We start from the raw sequence: 23,706 nt of genomic DNA, 5'->3' as shown, positions 1-23,706 counted from the left end.
CGATCTCAGGTGATCTGCCCGCCTCGACCTCCCAAAGTGCTGGAATTACAGGCGTGAGCCACCACACCTTGCCTTGATTTTGTTTCTTAGCCTTTAAGGCCTAAAATATTTATTATCTGATTCTTTTTTTTTTTTTTTTTTTTTTGAGATGGAGTCTCGCTGTGTCTCGCCCAGGCTGGAGTGCAGTGGTGTGATCTCAGCTCATTGCAACCTCTGCCTCCTGGGTTCAAGCAATTCTCCTGTCTCAGCCTCCAGAGTAGCTGGGACTACAGGCATGTGCCACCACAGCTGGCTAATTTTGTATTTTTATAAAAATACTAGAGAAGGGGTTTCACCATTTTGGCCAGGCTGGTCTCGAACTCCTGACCTCAGGTGATCCACCCACCTTGGCCTCCCAAAGTGCTGGGATTACAGGCCTGAGCCACCGTGCCCAGCTATTATCTGATTCTTTATAGAAAATGTTTGTCAGCTCTGTCCTTTTTCCATTTCCTTCTCATTCCTCTTTTTCCAGGAAGGAGTTGAGCTTCAGCGGAAGAAGTTTATAAAACCTGCCTGAATGCCCTAAAAACTCCCCATTCTCTTCATGTGCTCCTAAATCCAAAATGTCTTTCTTCAGAAGGCTGAATCAGATGTGAAGGCTCTCTTCGACACTCTAGACCAGTGCTGCCCAATAGAACGTTGTGCAGTGATGGGAATGTTCTAGAATTGCTGCTGTTCAGTGTGGTAGCCACTAGCCACATGAGGGTATTGTGCATTTGAAAGGTGGCCAGTGTGACTGAGGAACTGAATTTTCAATTTCATTTAATTTTAATTAACTTAAATAGCCACATCTGTCTAGAAGCTAGTTTATTAGACAACATTACTTGTTCAGAGAACCTGAACAAGTGTCAGACTAATTCAAGAGGGAAGTAAGAGAAATTTTGGTGGTCAGCAATCTGAGTTCCTACAGAGAACCCTGATTTTTATACTGACTAGTTTTTAAGTTTGATTTGCTTATTTTGATTCTAATCAGCTTAGCAAACATTTATTGAGTACCTACTATGTTCCAGACATTCGCCCAACATTTACATATTAATGGTAGCATAGGTTCCTGATGTCAAGAGCTCTGAGTCTAGAAGTGAGATAACAAATTAGGCACTTATTCTCCAAAGCAGGAGTAGTGTTTCCTCAAGTGCCACAGCTTTTCTTGTTCTTCTCTCTCTTTTTTGTTTTTTTTTGTAGAGCCGGGGTCTTTATCTCATGCTCAGGCTGGAGCGCAGTGGCTCCTTCTAGGCTCACTGCATGCAATCTCAACATCTGGGGCTCAAGCTGTCCTCCCACTCAGGCTCCCAAGAAGCTGGGACCACAGGTGCGTACCACCACACCCGGCTAATTTTGTTTATGTTTTGTAGAGACAAGATTTCACATGTTGTCAAGACTGGCCTCAAACTCCTGGGCTCAAGCAATGTTCCTGCCTTGGCCTTCCAAAGTGCTGGGATTATAGGCACAAACCACTGCACCCAGCCTAGTCCCACAACTTTCTTCTCAGTGGCTGTACTGTCTCTTCACAATGGCGGTCTTACCCCTTGCTTGAACCTTCACTTTCTCAATTCTGGAAACTTCTACATTGCTCAGTGCTTCTTCCACATCTTGTAGATTCCTTATGCTTGGCGTTGGAAACTTCTTCCTCTAACAGTGGAGATTTTTCTTCAGAGAACCACTCCACCTGCCTGTTACTGGCTGATACATCTCTGACCAAAACAACTGTATACAGGACTAAACCTCAGTTCTTCAGGGTCAGGGTAGGAAGTCAGAGGTAAGAGATCCATAAATCTGTACTGCCCCCAAGCCACAAGCTGTCTCTTTGGATTAGCATAGAGTAGCAAATGGCCATGGGGCATGTCCGTTGGGTCACCTGAGTCTTGTGGAACTGGATTAGTGACATAACTGTGTTAGGCCCTGCTGCAGACAGTGATCTCTCTGGAAGGACATGAGGTGGTGTGAGAAGTCACACAACTCATTGTGAGACCACAGGGGCAGATAACGCCTCATCTGCCTTCATCACAATGCTTGAACCTTAATCCTTTGATGATAGCTTTGCCACATAACTTTTTTAAATCTCTGGACATTTTTCCAAACTCTGTTGAATTTCATTTTGCTGACTTCATCTCATCCTGTGTGTTCCAGGTACTGGTGTCTGGTAATTCTATTATAGCAAACTTTCTCTTGAGGGTTTTGGGGAAAAGAATGAGACATTCTTCATATTGACTCTGTTTAGAGGGAGATAGGGCAGGAGTCCAGGAGTGCAAATGGATAGACAGACACAAGAGAATGCTTTGCCTTTGAGCAGATCCCAGAGCGTCATGGGCATCCGTTGGGGATGGAGCTTGACCAGAAGCCTGGTAAAGACTTATCCCCTCCCTAACCCCTACCCAGGGTCACTGCAGAGTGAAATTCTGGCCCATGGTCTGTCTCCCACGTGGTCAGCATGGCCTCTGTGGCAGACTGCTCTGGCTTTGCAGGTGCAAGATTTCCCGTGAGGCCATGCTGGAGAGCATCACCAGAAACAATTAAAAACACCCTCAGCCTATTGTCATGGTCACTTGTGAAGCCAAATGCAGAAGGAATGTGAGGGGGTAAAGTTTGGAGGGGGGCAGGGAGTGAGTGGGAAAGAAAGAATATGAAAGATGTCATCTGGGTGAGTTTGGGCCCATTCACAAGAATGCAGCAAAGTGCAGAGAGGTGGGGGTGTCTGCATGAACCTGAAATGGGGTCAGATGACTGTTAATTTATTCTACATCAGAATTTCCCCATCCAATCAGTGACCTTCCAAAGGAAAAGGCTATAGTTTTGTTGAGTGTATTTTCAATGTATTGTATATGTGTTTTTAAAGCTAAATGTGTGTGTGTGTGTATTTTTAAAATCAATTTTTAAATGTAATATGAATCTTTGCTAAGTTCATATCCTGAGTACTCTAGGGTAGAATAAATTTAGTAGGTTTTTATTAGTACAGTAATAAGGGTGAATAGCTGAAAATGAATGCTTGAGGTTTGGAAGGTTGTATCCTCTCCTGAGTTTCTGGAACATTCTATTACAAGATTATTACAACCATTACTTTGGTTCCAACTTCCTAAGAGCCAATGGTTGAAGAACTTGGGCTCTTTCACCTTGGGCAGGCTAAGGGATGACCGAATTTCATGAAGAAATATAAATAACAATAACACATGGCTTCAGATTTGCTCAGGCCAAATCAAGAATAAATGAGCTGAAATAGCAGCAGAGAGAATTTTGGTTAAAACAAAACAAAACTCACAGACACATACATTGTGTCTTTTACTGCTCCAGTGCTGGCAGACTCTGTGGGTGAATCCAGTTTTTTGAGAGGGAAAAAAATCTGTGAAGATATGAGCAGAGGCAGGTAAGCAGACTGAATTCCCAAGATCCAGCCGATGCTGTTTCTAGGAGGCTCCTCCTTTCCCTTTCTGACCTTACCTAGCCAGAGTTGAAGCTGCACCTTCTTAGAGCAAATACCAGCAAAGCTCCACCTAACAGGCTTCCCAAAAGAGTACCCTGGACAGAATACCCCAGCCCATAGCCCAAGTTCCATTTGACTTAAGGCACCCTGGACTTCCCTCAAAGTAGTATGTGCTTAGAAGACACTTTCTCCCCATAGACAACAGAAGTCCTCAGTGCCCTACAAACATGTGAAGAATGTCAGGAGTCCATCATGTGTCATGGGCTGAGCCTCCAGAGAACTATGTTCTACCCTGGTTATGTTGTGAACTGGTCATCAAGCAAGGGTGGGTAGCCTATCCTGTTTGGGCCTTGCTATCATCACCTGTATCATGAGGGATATTTGACTAGATAATCTCTAAGATCCTTCCCAGCACTGACATTTTATAATTCTCCTGTAATGTGTGCTTTCCCTGTTCTACACTTAAGTTTCCAAACAGGGTCACATTAACAATGATCATTGCTGTCCGATGGGCTCCTGCATCCTCCACCCTCTCTGTGAGATCTCTCCTTTAGGTTTCATCAGGAATCCTCAGGAATCTTTTGCATGTGCCCACATGATCCCGCATGGACTCTGCCCCATGAGGGTGCTGATGTCTGCCAACGCTGCTGCCACCATGTCCCCAAAGATATAGATAGTTACAGTCTCAGAAGAATTCAAGATCCCCCAAATGCTGCAGGATTAGCACAGAAGCAGACAGAATATTGCTCCTTCCCACTTTAGCTACCTTTTCTCCCCCGGCATCAGATTGTGCTGTTCACATCTCCCCTAGCTTCTGAAAACTGGCTATTGCAGCTTCAGTGTACAGTTTCTTTTTACCTGGAGCCAAGGGAGGAGCCCGCTGATGTCTGAAGTACCCAAGCCGGCTCCACTCCAGGGTATAGACTCCCACCACCAAAATCCCCTTCCAAAGTGACCCTTGCCCCGCCTTTCTGTGACACACACGCAGACAGGTCTGAATTGCTGAAATGAACGCTATTTAGGCTGAACTGGGGGCCCTGATATGCTATTTAAAGAAAAAAGAAATGAGAAATCATAGGAATCTTGAAGCTATTCATCTTGAAGACCATTCACGGAAGCAGTGAAATTAAACATAGCATCCTTCAATATATTCCCTCCAAACATAAACTTGGGCTATTGTTCCTTCATAATGCCAGTTTACCTCTGGGAGTTTGAGAGGCGGGTACTCATGTCCTCTCAGCACAATCACCAAAGCACTGCACCAGGTATCAGGAGGAAACAAGAACAAATCTATTGTCAGGAAGCCTGAGGGTTGACCCAAACACAGCAGAGCTATGGAAAATTATTTTGGAAACTATTTCTTACATAGCTGCCTGCAGTTGTTCAACCTGATTCTTAGACTGGACTGGAAGAGGAAAACCACTCATCATCTGAGAAGCCTTCGTGTTGCTATTTTATTAAGGACAGAAACATAAAGAGAAAAAAATCCATGGTTCTGCCTCACTTTCTGCTCCCTCCTTGACTTTTCTCTCCAAGTCTCAAGTACTCTTTATGCTCTGTGGGCAGTCGTCAATAGGAAAAAAGACTGATTTGATTTAAACCCACACCTTACTTTTAAGGAGCTCTTTCCTGCTCACCTGCTCATTTGATTAACTGGGGGCACAAAGAGGGTAGGAAATCCAAGAGGCAAAAGTAAGGGACCCCAAATGATGCATGCAGAATCTTTAGTGGTGAACTGTTGGGCTAGAAAAGTTGTCACCGTGGAATCTAAAATGGGTCCTGTTGTTTGTAAGATCCTTTAACCATCCTACTTCTCTTAATAACCATGTGGGCTATCCCAAAGTAGATTCTGGTACCCTATTAGAAGACACAGAGGGTATTATGGATGTGTGTTTAAGCCACAGTTTGAGCAAGATTGCATTTCTGTAGAATCATGATCTATGAAAACTTTCTGGCTGAACTGTTCATGTTACTAGTAAATCAATTTCATCAATTTCATTTTAAGAGAGTGTAGGAGAAGCTGTGGAGGAATCCTGCCAATGGCAAGAGTGAAGATGAAGCTCTATATGAAATGAGGAAAGGGGCAGACCTGCCACCGCAGAGCTAGCCCATTCTTATGGATGAAAGCCAGCTTCTGGGCCTTATTCATTCATTCACCTTTCATTTATTTGCCCATCCATCCACTCCACACATATTTCTGGAGCCCCTACTAAATGCTAAGCACTGCAAGTCTTAGGGACAGGTCAGTGAACAAAATAGACAAGCTTGCTGTCTTCTTGGAGCCTGCAGCCTGGAAAGGGAGTCAGACTAATATGACACAAATAAATTATGCAATTTTGATCATGGTAAGTGTTAGGAAGGAAGAACATAGGGTGCTATGAAAGCAAATAGGAAGAATGGTGAAGGGTCAGAAAAGTTTCCATGAGGAAAGCTGAAGGGTTAGCCAGATGAAGGAGAGGGGAGCCTGGGGAAATGATTTAAGCAGGAAATGATCCATGACTGAAGGGAGAGGCAGACAAATATATGTGTTGTGTGTGTGCGTGCGTGTGTTTGTGTATATGAATCTCAATGAAATGAAATCATCAGTAAGAAGCAAGTAGGCAAAACTCAGTGAAAAGAAGGGAAAACAAAATACAAATCAACCCCAGTAGGGCAAGAATATGCTCCTAAAAGTTGCCAACTGTGGTGGCAGGAGAGTGAGTGCAGGGTGCCCTCCACTCAGGCTAGCTTCCATCCCTCCCACATTGAAAGCAAAAGGCACGTCGTGGAAGGATGACATTGTCTTTCATTACTGAATCTCCAAATGGCTCACTGAGTCAGATGGATGCTGTGAGTTCTTTATACATTTGATATGTTTATCAATGAGTAGAATGGCAAAGTTGGAGGTGGATATGAAACTAAAATTACTGAACATCAATGTTGAGGCAGGCAATGGCTAGGCACTTTGTGGCCATTATTTCATTTAACATTTAAATAGTCCTGCCAGGTGGATACTACACATTTTATAATCAAGAGAGGAACAGTAGTTCTGGGAAGGTGACTAAAAATGAATGAAGATCAACCCACTTAAGTTGGTCTGGCTTCCATGTCGTGGAATTTCTGCAGTGCCACTCTGCTTTGCAAGCTTAGGAGACCCCTGTTATGGTTTGAATGTTCATCCCCTCAAAACTCCTGTTGAAACTTAGTCCCCAATTTAGCAGTATTGAGAGGTGAAGCCTTTAAGAGGTGATTGGGTAATGATGGCTCTCCACTCATGAATGAATTAATCCATGTATGGATTAATGGAATAATGGGTTATCATGGGAGTGGCACTAGTGGCTTTAGAAGAGGAGAAATAGGCCAGGTGCTGTGGCTGACTCTTGTAATCTCAGCATTTTGGGGGACTGAGGCGGGAGGATTGCTTGAGGTCAGGAGGTTGATACCAGCCTGGGCAACATAGAAAGACCCCATCTCTACAAATAAAAACTTTAAAATTAAAAAAATAAAAAGTGGAGAAAGAGAGACCTGAGCAAGCACACTCAGTCCCCTCAGCATGTGATGCTCTACACCAGGCTGGGACTCTTTAGAGGGATCCTCTCCAGCAAGAGGGCCCTTGTGGAATCCTGAGCCATACCCTTAGACTTCTCAGCCTTCAGAATTATAAGAAATAAATCTCTTTTCTTTATAAATAACCCAGTTTCAGGTATTCTGTTATAAGCAACAGAAAATAGATTACAGCAAACCCATAGAACTCATTTGGTCCCAGTCAATGTCCTCCTCCAGAAAATAACAGAAAATAAAAAATAACAAAAAAACCCAGAAAATAACAAATTTTCTGGAGGAGGACATAGAGGCTTACAAAGTTTAAGGGATTCATGTAAGCCTGGAATTATGGCAAATGTAAAGTAGACCTCTGTTTTCACATTACTAATCCACACATCTTTCCTGTTTCTTACTGTTTTATAAATCTAGTAAAAACACATACTTACCTGTGAATTATTAGTTTGCCAAAAGTACATATACATTCATTATTTTTCTTGACTTATACCATTTTTTCTTGAGTTATCCCTGAAAACTTCAGAGTTGAAATATGTAGTGGGAACATCTTTTCAAAAAACAAAAACCCTACTATAAAATATATTTTGTAATGAGGCAATCATACTTTTATTATTTTTCTATTTTGAACTTTCTTAAAGCAGGAGATGTTTGTGTTGGACAACCAACTTGTGTTGTGCCTTTTATATAATATTCTATATTATATTATATTATATTATATTATATTATATTATATTATAGGAAAGGAAAAACAAAGAAGGAAAAACAAAATACAAATCAACCACAGTAGAGCAAGAATATGCTCCTAAAAGTTGCCAACTGTGGTGGCAGGAGAGTGAGTGCAGGGTGCCCTCTACTCAGGCTAACAAGAGTTTTGAGGGGATGAACATTCAAACCACAGCAGGTGTCTCCTAAGCTTGCAAAGCAGAGTGGCAATGCAGAAATTCCATGACATGGAAGCCAGACCAACTTGAGTGGGTTGATCTTCATTCATCTTTAATCACGTTCCCAGAACTACTGTTCCTCTCTTGATTATAAAATGTGTAGTATCCACCTGGCAGGACTATTTAAATGTTAAATGAAATAATAATATTCTATATTATGTTATATATAAAATTATATATATTCTATATTATATTATATAAAAGTTGGTTGTCCAACATAAGCATCTCCTGCTTTAGGAAAAGAGGAATATAATATTCATCTAATAAAATGGAAAGTCCTAAATAAAGTATGTTTACTTTGTTAGCTTCTCTAATAAAATCTCAAATCCAGAATAATATCTTGGTCCATACATCAAGTCGGTGAAATAATACCATAGAATCAGAAAATAGAAAATGGTAACCAGTGCTCCATTAGGGAAGAATTCTACATTTGCGATCACAGAGTCGCTTCTAATTAATTGGTTTTGACTTTAGACATATTGTTTCACTCTTCTGGCCTCAGATTCTACATCTGGAAGATGAAGGGGTTATAGCTGATGGTCTCTGTACATTCCCCTCTAGCTTTCAAGTTCAGTAAGATAATGGGTCTTGAAGGTATATTTACAACCAGCCCATCCTTTCCTTCTTGGTCAATAATCCCCAGCTGTCATTCTCACCTGCTAGTTGTCCCTTAACTTCAATTTCCCACTCTTCCCTATAGGATCTTAGAAATACTAAAGGGAACATCTAATATTCACAATTCCTGGGCCTGAGCACCCCCTGGGCACACAGAGATAAACTGCTATAGCCCTGGAAGAAATCAGGGCTCTGGGAAGCCGGGGTCTAACTAAAGTTAGCACCAAATCCCTGAACTTCCCTGTGTGTACTATGAGACAAGAACTGTGGGACTTTCCTGACTTGGGCAGGAAAGGAGCTTGGAAGAATGAGAGGGACTGGGTGGCAAGCTCTATCATCAAACAGGCGCTGCAGGGGCTCTGCAGGGCTGTCCCCAGACAGGTACATTTGGAAGGGAGGGAGATGAGGTAGGGACTTGGCAGATGCCCAGTGGGTGTAAGTCAGTGGCCACACAGTGAGTGTACAGGGGCTAAAGGGCAGCCACTTGAAAAAATGTGCTGTTCAACTGAATAAGTTCACAAGGAACAATCCAAAGATTACTAAATATCAATTATTTGTGTTGCCTGAATTGTCCTCCAATCCCAATAAATATCATGCGTGCATTTCAACAGGGATTTTATCTTCGTGTATTTACCATTTTTGATGCTTTCTTTCATTTCTTTTACTGGTTTGTATACACACCTTCTGCGTTTGTAGGCCATATAACCATTATTTTAAGCCTTTTAGGATATGGCTGTCCTGTAGTGAGGCACTTTTTGTAGAGTATGTGCATGAGCCTGCGTATGTGTGTGGTGTGTGTGCGCTGCGTATGTTTGTGTCTGTGTGTGTATATGTGTGTGTGGTGTACGTAAGTGTCTTCATGTGTTTCCGTGTATGGTGTATGTGTTGCACGTGGTGATGTGTTGGGTGTGCACGTTTGTGTGTGCATATGTGTGGTATATGGTGTTTCTCTGGGTCTTTGCATGGTGTGTCTCTCTGTGTATTTGTGTTACATATGTTTGTGGCTCTGTGGGTGTTTATTGGGTTGTGTATGTGTGTAGTGTGTATGTTTGTGTGTGTTGTATGTGTGGTGTGTGTGTCTCTCTGTGTTTGTGTGTGGTGTGTATATTTGTATCTGTGTGTATGTGTGATGTGTCTCTCTGCGTGTGGTCTATTTGTGTGTGTATTTGTGCTGTGTATATTTGCAACTCTGTGGGTGTTTATGTGGGCTGTGCATGTGTGTAGTGTGCATGTTTGTGTCTGTGTGTGTGTGATGTATGTGTCTGTGTGTGCTGTGTCTATCTGTGTGTGTATTTGTGCTATGTATGTGTGTGGCTTTGTGGGTTGTATATGTGTATGAGTTAACTCCTGTGTGCAGACTGCAGCCCCTCAGGCCTAGACTCTGGGCTCTTCTCTCAGGCCTTAGCATCTATGCCAGGCAACTGAGATTTCTCAGGCACTCCTGGGAACTGTGCCTCATGTCCCAGAGAGCGTGTGGAAAGCACTCTCTGCGGCAGGTGTCTGACAGCCTGCAGGGTTGCTATGTGCCTAGGGTGTGGCACACAACCCCTCTGCGGAGGATGAGTGCCTGTGGTTATCAGCAGAGTCAGTGCACTGAAGAGGCCATTATCACGGGCACCGGAGTGCATGAATCATGGGGTATGTCATTTTCTATTTTAGGAAGAAAAAGAAAACATCTCGAGCGAATCAATCAATTCTCATTAGGCCCATTCATAGCCACATTGCCTGGTCCTCTTTCAGGGGCTGGAAGAAGTGGCCCACATCCAAATCCACCATTCAATCCGTAGGCCTTTGCCCCATATTCCGGCCCCATTTCCTTGCTTGATGTGTGCACACAGCTCTGCCTCATGCTGTGAGTGTGCATACCTCCTCCGTGTCCCTCAGTCAGCCTCCTGCCTCCTGACTTGGGTCGCACTCAGGAGGTAAAGACACTTTCTCTAGGCCACAGCATTCTAAGTTGGTGTAATTTTCTGTTTAAACTCATGATGAATGAACTCTAACATTCATTCAGTAGGTGTGGCCACATGCAGAGTTAGGCATTCAAGATGCAGGGAGGATTAGAAAAAATGGTAGTTAAGGGCATAGACTTTGATTAAGATAGAACCTGTTTACATTGCTTCTTCACCCCTTCCTCTGTGACCCGGGGCAGACAAGGTAACTTCCTGAAGGCTCTGCTTCCTCATTTGTGAAATGGGCACTTACCTAACTGTGGTGCTGTGAGGCCAATGACAGCTGAAAGTGCCAGCTGTGGTGTGGATGGTCACTCAACCTTCATTCCTGCCTCTTGCTGGGTGAAGTTGGAAAGCTGAGCACCATGATTCCAAGGCTCCTTTGCAGTCGGGGTTCTAGAAGCAAGCTGTCTTCTGCCAAGTAGAGGCACTCAGTGCAAGATGTGCAAAGCAGAAGCTGCACCCCTTTGTAGCCATTTTGCTGGCCAGCAAAGCTGGGGAAATAGGAGGTTTTTCTGCATCAGAGTTCCAGAGTCCATTCTCCAGCTTCTTGGGTATCGAGAGGCAGGAATTGTAGCAGAGGCAGCAGTCACTTCTGGATTCCAGCACAGCTCCAGAGGTGCCCTAGAGGTGGTGGTTAATTTCTATACTGCTTTGTGAGCCCCAGCCTAGAACCTGCTCCTTCAGCCCTTCTAACCGTTTTGCAAGCACATTATCCCTTGACTAAATCCCTTCCTACTCAATGTAAGTGAAGCAATTTCTGTTTCCTGCACTGAATCCTAACAGATAAAGCTATTATTATTTGTATACAGAAGAACAAGTTAAAGTAATAGCAGCTGCCACATATTGGTTATACCATAAGTCCAGATTTTTATAGATGGTATCTAATTTCATTCTCCCAGAAAAATCACACAGCCCCTGAAGGGTCTAATCAGAGTGTGAACCTAGGTTTCTCTGGCACCAAAGGCGGGGTGCCAAACCATTATACTCCTCTGTTCATGCTCTGGAAGAGCTCGCAGGTCAGGAAGGATGCATTCTGGTGAATAAATGGCTACAGTGCAGTGAGAGAGATGCTGAAAAAAACTGTGGGCCCAGGCCTATGGAGCCCAGATGAGAAAATGCCTAACTCTGCCTAGCCTCGGAAGTCCAAGATGGAGTGTGATTCCCACCTTGGCAAGGAATCATGACCTCCAGGCTCCTTAAGATGTTGGGGACCTCTGCCTTGAAGCTCCAATATCCTGTTTCTCAAGAAACCATGATTTAGGAACTCCACAGAAGGAAGAAAGAAAGGGAAAAAGGAGAGAGGGAGGGAGAAAGCGAAGCAGGGAGGGAGGGAGGGAGGGAGGGAGCCCTAGCCTGCAGCGGCATTTGGCTACCTGGGGGGCTGAACCCTTTGTATCCTATTCTCAGCTCTTTTACCCAGGCTTTCAGGTACCATGGTTTTCTCACACACCTGGCCTTGCATAGATTGTACCACTCCTCACCCTTTTCTAGCACCTGGAAAATGGGTTTGCCTTTATTTGGTGGTTCCTTTTAATGTCTATCTTTTCAGGAATTGAGATAATTTTTCCTCCACCCTAATTTAAAGGCTTATGAACATATGTAAAAGCTTAGGAGTACCAATGTGTTTCTGAAAGGTTTTTTGTTTGTTTGTTTGTTTGTTTGTTTGTTTGTTTTGAGAAGGAGTCTTGCTCTGTCACCCAGGCTGGAGTGCAGTGGCACGATCTCGGTTCAGTGCAACCTCTGCTTCCCGGGTTCAAGCAATTGCCTGCCTCAGCCTCCCGAGTTGCTGGGATTACAGGCGCCCACCACCATGCCCAACTAATTTCTGTATTTTTAGTAGAGACGGGGTTTCACCATCTTGGCCAGGCTAGTCTTGAACCCCTGACATCATGATCCACCTGCCTCGGGCTCCCAAAGTGCTGGGATTACAGGTTTGAGCCACCACGCCTGGCCTGAAAGGTCTTTTAATACTGAAAAAACAAACAAACAAACAAACCAAAAAAAAACCAAGACTTATTCAGCTGCATCTCTAAATGAAACATGCATCCCAGCAAACAATCATAGCTGGCCTCCCTTATTAGGGACCTGGAGATCCTAGGCTATAGGAAATACATATCCTTTGCATTTGTATGCTTGAAATTTACAAAACAATTTTTAGTTGTTTTGTTTTTTAACTCTCAACTGATTTTTTAAAAAAAGATACAACCGATTGTTTGATCTGCTGCCTGCAAGATATTTTGAATAGGCACACTATTCCTGTTTCAGAGGAGTAGGTTGAAGCCAGAGTCCCACATCTTGTAAGTGACGGAGTTAATTGATGACTCTGAATTAGTGCATTTCCCTATTTTCCTTGAAAGTAAACCTTTCCCCAGAGCTGCTGGAATAAAAGGTATGGGGGTCTCTTTTTTGCTCTTCCTCTGCCTACCTGAAGCATGTGTGAGGAGCTGGCTCTGTTTCCCTGGCTGGAACCTGGAGCAGGAAGTCCCAACCTGTGGCATCAGCTCTGGAAGTAGAAGCAGGGTCCTGTGGAGGAGGTGGTTCCAGATGTAGGGCCTCTGATTTCTTGCCTCTCAGCTCCCTCATTTTCAGGGTTTGCTACCACCCCCTAATTTCCAGGTAATGGTCTTGTAAAATTTTATGAATTGGACCATCAGGAGTGATGTGGTTAGGTTTTATGTACCCACCCAAATCTCAGCTTGAATTAGAATTCCCATAATCCCCAGGTGTCAAGGGAGAGACCAGGTGGAGGTAATTGAATCATATGGGTGGTTTCCCCCATGTTGTTCTCGTGATAGTGAGTGAGTTCTCACGAGATCTGATGGTTTTATAAGGGGATCTTCCTCCATTGCTCTCCTTTCTGCAGTCTGGTGAAGAAGGTACATTTCTTCTCCTTCGTCTTCCGCTATGATTGCATGTTTTCTGTGAGGCCTCCCGAGCCATGCTGAACTGTGAGTCTGTTAAACCTCTTTTCTTTATAAATTACCCAGTCTTGGACAGCTCTTTATAGCAGTTATAAAACGGACTAATACAAGGAGCCTAAACCTTGAGCACATTTTCTAATTTCTAGCCCCTGGGTAACTGGCTCCTCTCTCCACATTTAGCCCCATGCCCATGTTCAGACCCTTAGCAGAGCCCTGGGCATGGGGCCAAGGAATTGCAGAAGATTCTGGTCCCAGGACAACTGTTAAATGATTTCAGAAAGGTAAAGACCACCACATATGTGCACCTCAAAATAGTTTCAGGACACACAGGACCTCAAATACCACAGTGTTTTATAGAGGGCACAAAAAGGGGGCTTAGAAATTATTAAGCCTTCAGAAGAAAAGATGATAGGAGGGAAGTAACAGTGGAGATAATGAAGCATTTGTAAGATAATGATATCAAAAATCACATTCAAATAGTATTTGCTGATTTCAAAAGCTTTCTCACCTATATTATTTCATGTAATTCTCAAAGTAATAGTCTAAAGCTGGGTGCTGTGACATGCTCCTAAAGTCCCAGCTACTTGGGAGGCTGAAGTAGGAAGATCATTTGAGCCCAGAAGTTCTAGGCTGTGGTGTGCTATGAATAGCCACTGCACTCCAGCCTGGGCAACACGGCAGGACCCTGTATCTTAAAAAAAAAAAAAAAAAAAAAAAGTAACAGCCTTGCGAAGTAGGCAGAGCAGACATTACCATGCCAGTGTAAAAGACAAAAAGCCTGAAGCTTGGGGTTGGGGTCTTCTGATCCCAAATCTAAATCTCCAGTGAAAATTAGGAGCAATATTGTATATAGCAACATCAATTTAAAAAAAAACTCTAATGTCCCAATTACCTGATTCTGGTTTCTGCCTGCTCAGTCTCCTGCAAATTCCCTCTTGATTGGTCCTCGGAGTCCCCAAGAGGTATTTCACGTGTGTGCTCAGGAATAAGTTTCCCTTCCGATGGCTTCCCTGGTTCTGGGGCCCTGATGAATGTCATACTGCCCTGGATCACTGCCCAGACCCCACTATGTGGCCATCACCTCCCTAGAGCAGTCCTCTTTCCTGTAGCCACAGGCCCCACCCTTTTTCTGGTAGCATTCACTTCCATTCCCCGGGATGTCAAGGTTATTTGGTGGTCTATGGCAGAACAGGAGAGAGTGGCTCTCTCTTCATGGAATTACACTTTGTTAGAGGCTCCCAGAGCAGTGTTAACATGATTCCAATGTGAGAGAGGTTAACTCAGACACCTAGGTCAGTTTTTATCTCTCCAGGGGGAGGGCTTGGGATGGATGCATTTAACAGCCATGCAATTCTGTAAAGTTCCACTCAGTATCTTTCCTCTGGGGCTTTATTCCTACCCTCTCAGTCTCTGTCAGTTTCTTAGTCAACTCAGGAACCAAATGGAGTCAAGTGCATATTTTGGATGAATTCTTTGTTGCTCAAAACTGAGGAATCAAGCAGAGTGGGACAACTCATTGTTCCTTAATCTCTTAATGCTACTATTTGGGTAGAGAGGAACTCTTGTCTTAATCCCCGATACATCAGTGTAGTTTGAAGCACTCGCAATCCAGTGACGAAGAAGATGGGCACAGTTCCTGCTGCCTTGGATGCTTCAGTCTGAGAGGTCGATGGTACCGTGCCTGCTTTCTTCTTTAGGATGAATGTTTCATGGGAAGCTTATCTAGATTATTCACTCTCCTCCTACTCCCCTACCTGTATCCTCCACCCACGCTCCCAATTTACAAAAAAAATTTTTTTAACTGAATTTTTATTTTAGATAATTGCCAATTAATGTGCAGATGTAAGAAATATTATAGAGAGATCCTTTGTATCACTTATCCAGTTTCCTCCCGTGGTAACATCTTGCAAAATTATAGAATAATATCACAACCAGGATATTGACATTGGCACAGTCAAGATACAGAACAGGCCAGGCACAGTGGCTCATGCCTGTAATCCTGGCACTTTGGGAGGCTGAGGTGGGAGGATGGCTTGAGCCCAGGAGGTCGAGGCTGCAGTGAGCCATGATTGCACCACTGCACCCAGGCTGGGTGACACGGCAAGACTTCGTTTCAAAAAAAAAAAAAAGAAAGAAGAAAAGATACAGAACATTTCCATCACTACAAAGATACCTCATATTGCCCTTTTATACCCACCTCCACCTCCCCTCTCACCACTCCATCCCTGATCCCTGGCAACCACTAATTTGTTTTCTATTTCTATAATTTTGTCATTTCAGGAATATTGCATTAGCAGAATCATACATCACGTGATGTTTTGGAATTGATTTTTTTTTTTTTACTCTGCATAATTTCCCAATTCTCTGGAGATTCATTGAAGTTGTTCTGTTTCTCGCTGAATAGTATTCCCTGGTATGGATATACATGTGTTCTTCCTTAATTTGGATACCATACTTGTATGAATACAGCTAAAGACTGCAAAGACCCTTTGGCAGGCCCTGTCCTTGATTCCTTGTTTTTCTGTGAGTTAATATTCCCAGGTTCTTTTCAGGTGAATACTGACATTTACATAAATATGCATCAAATTTTGTCTTGCTAGCTTCAGCCTGCCAGATACTTCTGCCACTTGAGTCTGTCACTTAACACATTAGGCACCTCTCCCAGTTTTGTGTCATCTGTGAGTGATAACATGCACTCTCAGAACAAATTTGATATGCAAGTATTGAAGAGGACAGGACACAGGCACAACTCGCCTTCAGTCTAGCATAGTACACTTAAGCCTCTTTGGGCTTAGCTGCTTAGTGAGTTAGGAAGCCACCTGTGTTCCCACATCTTGCCCATGAGACTACTGTGAGAGCTTGGGAAAAATGTTTTGCTCAGATCCAGCTATGCTACATTACCTGTTTGGTAATTCCATCAAAAAAGAAAATAGAGGCTTGATGGCAATTGCTCTTAATGATCTCCAGCTGGTTTCTAGCATTGTGGTGCCTGTTTGTAATATTACACCATCTGCCTCAAGCACTTAGCCTGGCCTTTTTCTTAGACTTCCTGCTCTGAACACAACCGAAACAATTATCTTTGTTGTCCTTAGGATTTTTACAAATCTCAGCTTTTTCTGAAACCGTTATTTGGAGGTCTTTGTTGTATCTCTTGTGCTTTCTTTTAAAATCCGAGTGCCCTGGACAGCCAAATTGTTAATTTCTCCATATTATTTTCTGCATGTACACACACACATACACACAAAGAAGATTGAATTATTTATGTTTATATTAACAAAACATTAATTTTTACAATCTTCTAAGCCCCTTGAGATATCTTATCTTTTGGAGTTATTGGCCACAGGATCATTCATTTTTGGTTTATTTTTTATGAAATCCACTTTTCTAAAGTTGAATATGTGACTAGTACTTCCTGGAATTCTCTTTCTTAACTACTAGGCTGGTGCAAAAAAAACCCCGCAATTACTTTTGCATCAACCTAATATATGGTCTTTAAAACAGCATGGCTACCCTTCACCGCTCTCAAGATGCCTAGTTAAGAAGTGAGCGTTGGAGTCAGATAAATCTAGGTTGGGCTTTTGGGTTCTTTATCACTAGCTATGTAACCTCTTTAACCCTCGGTTTCCTCATCTGTAAAATGTGGATAGTTTCATAGAATTGGGAGGATTAAAAAAGGTAATTCTCTGCACATAGTGAGTACTCAATAAATGTTAGCTTTTATAATTATTTAAAGTATTTATTACTGTGATCAAACATGTTAAGTGCTCAATAAGTGTAAGCTATTGTTATTTTATTTATTTTTATTTATTTATTTTGAGACTTGAGTCTCGCTCTATTCCCCAGGCTGGAGTGCACTGCCGTGATCTTGGCTCACTACAATCTTGGCCTCTCAGGCTCAAGTGATCTTCCCACCTCAGGCTCCTGAGTAGCTGGGACCACAGGCATATGCCACCATACCTGGCTAATTTTGGTAATTTTAGAAGAGATGGGGTTTCACCATGTTACCCAGGCTGGTCTGGAACTCCTAGGCTCAAGTGATCTGCCTGCCTTGGCCTCCCAAAGTGCTGGGATTATAGGCATGAGTCACTGTGCCCAGCCAAAATTTTTTTATTTATTTTACTTATTTATTTACTTATTTTTGAGACGGAGTCTCGCTCAGTCGCCCAGGCTGGAGAGCAGTGGCGCGATCTGGGCTCACTGCAAGCTCCGCCTCCCGGGTTCATGCCATTCTCCTGCCTCAGCCTCCTGAGTAGCTGGGACTACAGGCACCCGCCACTACGCCCGGCTAATTTTTATGTATTTTTAATAGAGACGGGGTTTCACCGTGTTAGCTAGAACGGTCTCAATCTCCTGACCGCGTGATCCGCCCGTCTCGGCCTCCCAAAGTGCTGAGATTAAAGGCGTGAGCCACCGTGCCCGGCCCTTTTATTTTTACATGAAGTATCACATTCATTTCTTTATCCATGCTTAGCCCATATCTGAAATCATGTTTTGCTACCAAACCTTTCTTATTTTCTCCAGCGATCAGCTGGAGACATTCACCATTATTGTTATTCTTTCTGTTTCAACACCCAAGATTCTCCATCATAACTAGCTATTAGTTTTATCTAAATCTTTTCCTCTCTCCTCATCAAATGTTAATGTAAAGCCCTCTTGATCAGTTAATGAACCTCCTGTCAAACTCTCTCTTCCTGTTCTGTCTCTTGGCAAGAACCCATTTCTCTATTATTGTAAGCCATGGTCCAGGAAAATCAAACCTGTTTTTCAACTTGTTTATGAAGTGCGCACTTCCCTTTCAGTATTAAGGTCGTTACTTTCAACTGGAATATGAGATAAAATGACCCTCAGTGGATCGTAAGTGGATGGCTGTTTGGCATTTTGTTTTTGATTTCACAGCCATCTGAGATACACCCCCAAATTTCTTTGTGCTGTATTGTCTCTCTCCATAAGGGTCAGTGACAGTGGGTAGTGGTCAACAGGCTTGGGGACTCTTGGCAGGCTCCTGTATGTTACAGACACCTGTGTCAAAAAATCAACAAACCTCCTGAGATTCCTGCTGGGCTCTTCCTGCTCAACACCTTTTTCACCTGGCTGGCCTCCTTGCTGGCTCTTAAGTATGGGCATGGCTCTGTCTTTGGGGGTCTTTCACCAGATATGCGCCAGTATCCCCAAGACCTCATCTACATGTCCATATCCTATGTTTCAATAAGGTCTGCCCTGACCACCCTAGTTACAATTATAAGCTGCAGTGCTCTGATCCCCCTATATCACATTCTCTTTCTTCTTTACCCAGCTCAGTTTTTTTTTCCCATAGCAAATATCACCCTCTAATATATTAAATCATTAACTTATTTATTACAGTTATTAGTTATTGTCTAATACTCCCACACACAAATTGGAATGTAAAATCAATGAGGCAGAGACCTATGTATCCTGGGCACTTAGAACAGTTCCTAATACTTATAGATGTTCAGTAATTGTTTGTCTAATGATAGATTACAATAGGACCCACAACCTACCTTTTTTATTTCCTTTATTCCTTTATTAAGTAAAGTTAGACTTTTCTAAGTATAAAATAAAATTGCTTGAAGTAAAAATTTGAAAAAAAATCATAGATAGTAAAAATAAAATTAAACAGAATCCTACCACCCAGAAGTAAATACTGATAGCCATTTAAGTACTCTTGAGCAAAAAGAACAAAGCTGGAGGCATCACATTACCTGATTTCAAATTATAGTACAAAGCAAGAATAACCAAAACCGCACAGTACTGGCATAAAATGAGACAGACGAACAGAATAGGGAATCCGGAAATAAATCATGCATTTACGGTCAACTCATTTTTGACAAAGGTGTCAAGGACCTACACTGGGGAAGGGACAGACTCTTCAGTAAGAGGTGCTAACAGAACTGGATATCCACATACAGAAGAATGAAACTAGACTCCTATCTCTTGCCATATACAAAAATCAACTCCAAATGGATTAAAGACTTAACCTTAAAACCTGAGACTATGAAACTACTAGAAGAAAACATTGGGAAACACTCCAGGGCATTAGTCTGGCAAAGATTTTGAGTAAGACCTAAAAAGCAGAGGAAACCAAAACAAAAATGGACAAATGGGATTGCATCAAGCTAAAATGGTTCTTCGTATCAAAGGAAACAACGATTTGCAAACTACCCATCTGATGAGAGATTAATAACTAGAATGTTAGGAGGTCAAATAATAGCAAACAAACAATCCTATTAAAAATGGGCAAAACAGCTGAATAGACATTTCTGAAAAGAAGACATACAAATGGCTAACAGGTATATGAAAAAATTCTCCACTAGTCATCAAAATAATGCAAATTAAAACTACAATGGGATATCATCTTACTCCAGTTTAAAGGGCTTTCCTCCAAAAAAACAGGCAATAACAAATGCTGGAGAGGTTGTGGGGAAAGGGGAACCCTCATACACTGTTAGTGAGAATGTAAAGTAGTACAGCTACTATAGAACACAGTATGACGGGCCTGGCACAGTGGATGACGCCTGTAATCTCAGCACTTTGGGAGGCCAAGTGCTCAGGCAGATCACCAGAGGTCAGGAGTTTGAGACCAGTCTGTCCAACATGGTGAAACCCCGTCTCTACTAAAAATACAAAAAAATTAGCCGGGTGTGGTGGCAGGCACCTGTAATTCCAGCTACTTGGGAGGCAAAGGCAGGAGAATCACTTGAACCTGGGAGGTGGAGGTTGCAGTAAGCCAAGATCACACCATTGCACTCCAGCCTGGGTGACAGCATGAGACTGTCTCAAAAATAGTATGATATGATGATTCCTCAAAAAACTAAAAATAGAACTACCACATGATCCATCAATCCCAGCGTTGGATGTATATCCGAAATAAAGGAAATCAGTATATCAAACAGAAGATATCTGTACTCCCATGTTTATTGCAGCACTATTCTTAATAGCCAAGATATGGAATCAACCTGAGTGTCCATCAATGGATGAATGGATAAAGAAAATGTGATACATATACACAATGGAATATTATTCAGCCATAAAAGGAATGAAGTCCTGTCATTTGTAACAACATGGGTGGAACTGTAGGACATGACGTTAAGTGAAATGAGCCAGACACAGAAAGCTAAAAATAAACTCATAGAGATAGGGAGTAGAGGCCAGGCACGGTGGTGCACGCTTATAATCCCAGCACTTTGGGAGGCCAAGGCAGGCAGATTGCTTGAGCCCAGGAGTTTAAGACCAGCCTGGGTAACATGGTGAAACCCCATCTCTACAAAAAATATAAAAAAATTAGCCAGTGAGGTGGTGTGTGCCTGTAGTCCCAGCTACTCAGGAGGGTGAGGTGGGAGGATCACTGGAGCCCGAGAGGTTGAGACTACAGTGAGCCAAGATCATGCCACTGTACTCCAACTTAGGCAACAGAGTGAGACCCTGTATTAAAAAAAAAAAAAAAAAGAAAAGAAAGAGTAGAATGATGGTTACCAGAGTCTGGAAAGTGTGGTGGGGAGGAGGGATAAAGAGGGATTGGCTAATGGGTACAAATATACAGCTAGAAGGAATAATATCTAGTGTTCATAGCATAATAGTGACTATAGTTAACAATCATTTATTACATATTTCAGAGTAACTAAAAGAGTGAAATTGGAATGTTTCTAACACAAAGCTGGGACTACAGGCACGTGCCACCACGCCCGGCTAATTTTTATACTTTTAAAAATATTTATTTATTTTTATTATACTTTAAGTTCTGGGATACATGTGCAGAACGTGCAGGTTGGTTACATAGGTATACACGTGCTATGGTGGTTTGCTACACCCATCAACACATCATCTACATTAGGTATTTTTCCTAATGCTATCCCTCCCCTATCCCCCTAACCCCCAACAGGCTCCCAGTGTGTGTTCCCCTCCTTGTGTCTGTGTGTTCTCATTGTTCAACTCCCACCTATGAGTGAGAACATGTGGTGTTTGGTTTTCTGTTCTTGTGTTAGTTTGCTGAGAATGATGGTTTCCAGCTTCATCCATGTCCCTGCAAAGGACATGAACTCATTCATTTTTATGGCTGCATAGTATTCCATGGTGTATATGTGCCACATTTTCTTTATCCAGTCTGTCACTGATGGGCATTTGGGTTGGTTCCAAGTCTTTGCTATTGTGAACAGTGCTGCAATAATCATATGTGTGCATGTGTCTTTATAGTAGAATGATTTATAATCCTTTGGGTATAAACCCAGTAATAGGATTGCTAGGTCAAATGGTATTTCTAGTTCTAGATCCTTGAGGAATCACCACACTGTCTTCGACAGCGGTTGAACTAGTTTACACTCCCACCAACAGTGTAAAAGTGTTTTTATTTCTCCACATCCTCTCCAGCATCGTTGTTTCCTGACTTTTTAATGATCACCATTCTAACTGGCATTGGAGGTATCTCATTGTGGTTTTGATTTTCATTTCTCTAATGACCAGTGATGATGAGCTTTTTTTATATGTTTGTTGGCTGCATAAATGTCTTTTGAGAAATGTCTGTTCATATCGTTTGCCCACTTTTTAATGGGGTTGTTTTTTTCTTGTAAGATTGTTTCAGTTCTTTGTAGATTCTGGATATTAGCCCTTTGTCAGATGGATAGATTTCAGAGTTTCTCTCTCATTCTGTAGGTCGCCTGTTCGCTCTGATGATAGTTTCTTTTGCTGTGCAGAAGCTCTTTAGTTTAATTAGATTCCGTTTGTCAATTTTGGCTTTTGTTGCCATTGCTTTTGGTGTTTTAGTCATGAAGTCTTTGGCCATGCCTATGTCCTGAATGGTATTGCCTAGGTTTTCTTCTAGGGTTTTTATGGTTTAAATCTTATGTTTAAGTCTTTAATCCATCTTGTGTTAATTTTTGTATAAGCTGTAAGAAAAGGGGTCCAGTTTCAGTTTTCTGCATATAGCTAGCCACTTTTCCCAACATCATTTATTAAATAGGAAATCCTTTCCCCATGGCTTGTTTTTGTTAGGTTTGTCAAAGATCAGATGGTTGTAGATGTGTGGTGTTACTTCTGATGTCTCTGTTCTGTTCCATTGGTGTATATATCTGCTGTGGTACCAGTACCAGTACCATGCTGTTTTGGTTGCTGTAGCCTTGTAGTATAGTTTGAAGTCAGGTAGCGTGATGCCTCCAGTTTTGTTCTTTTGGCTTAGGATTGTCTTAGCTATACAGGCTCTTTTTTTGGTTCCATATGAAATTTAAAGTAGTTTTTTCTAATTCTGTGAAGAAAGTCAATGTTAGCTTGATGGGGATAGCATTGAATCTGTAAATCACTTTGGGCAGTATGGCCATTTTCATGATATTGATTCTTCCTATCCATGAGCATGGAATGTTTTTCCATTTGTTTGTGTCCTCTCTTATTTCCTTGAGCAGTGGTTTGCAGTTCTTCTTGAAGAGGTCCTTCATATCCCTTGTAAGTTGTATTCCTAGGTGTTTTATTCTTTTTGTAGCAATTGTGAATGGGAGTTCGCTCATGATTTGGTTCTTTGTCTACTATTGGTGTATAGGAATGCTTGTGATTTTGGCACATTGATTTTTGTATCCTGAGACTTTGCTGAAGTTGCTTATCAGCTTAAGGAGGTTTTGAGCTGAGACAGTGGGGTTTTCTAAATATACAATCATGTCATCTGCAAACAGAGGCAATCTGACTTTCTCTCTTCCTATGTGAATACCATTTATTTCTTTCTCTTGCCTGATTGCCGTGGACAGAACTTCCAATACTATGTTGAATAGGAGTGGTGAGAGAGGGCATCCTTGTCTTGTGCCAGTTTTCAAAGGGAATGCTTCCAGCTTTTTGCCATTCAGTATGGTATTGGCTGTGGGTTTGTCATAAATAGTTCACATTATTTTGAGATACGTTCCCTCAATACCTAGTTTATTGAGAGTTTTTAGCATGAAGGAGTGTTGAATTTTATCAAAGGCCTTTTCTGCATCTATTGAGATAATCATGTGGTTTTTGTCATTGGTTCTGTTTATGTGATGGATTATGTTTATTGATTTGCGTATGTTGAACCAGCCTTGCATCCCAGAGATGAAGCCAACTTGATGGTGGTTGGATAAGCTTTTTGATGTGCTGCTGGATTCAGTTTGCCAGTATTTTATTGAGGATTTTCACATCAATGTTCATCAGGGGTAGTGGCCTGAAATTTTCTTTCTTTGTTGTGTCTCTGCCAGGTTTTGGTATTAGGATGATGCTGGCCTCATAAAACGAGTTAGAGAGGATTCCCTCTTTTTCTATTGTTTGGATTAGTT

General features: G+C 42.2%; 1 long non-coding RNA gene across 1 annotated transcript in view, besides 1 other annotated feature; it reads left to right on the top strand.

Moving 5' to 3' along the window:
• LINC01344 (long intergenic non-protein coding RNA 1344) overlaps positions 1 to 23,706 on the top strand; it is a 110,117-nt gene that overhangs the window by 67,541 nt on the left and 18,870 nt on the right. The window lies entirely within an intron of this gene.
• Positions 16,061 to 16,633: an enhancer, noted in NCBI's record as "OCT4-NANOG hESC enhancer chr1:182199023-182199595 (GRCh37/hg19 assembly coordinates)". NCBI's record gives its function as "activates a minimal SCP1, AML or CMV promoter by ChIP-STARR-seq in primed H9 embryonic stem cells {active_cell/tissue: H9 hESC(primed)}" and the evidence as "EXISTENCE:reporter gene assay evidence [ECO:0000049][PMID:30033119]".

This window comes from Homo sapiens, chromosome 1 (assembly GCF_000001405.40).
Source record: "Homo sapiens chromosome 1, GRCh38.p14 Primary Assembly".
Lineage (NCBI taxonomy): Eukaryota > Metazoa > Chordata > Mammalia > Primates > Hominidae > Homo > Homo sapiens.
Note: the sequence above shows the minus strand (reverse complement) of the source record. Positions and strands in the feature narration are given on the sequence as shown.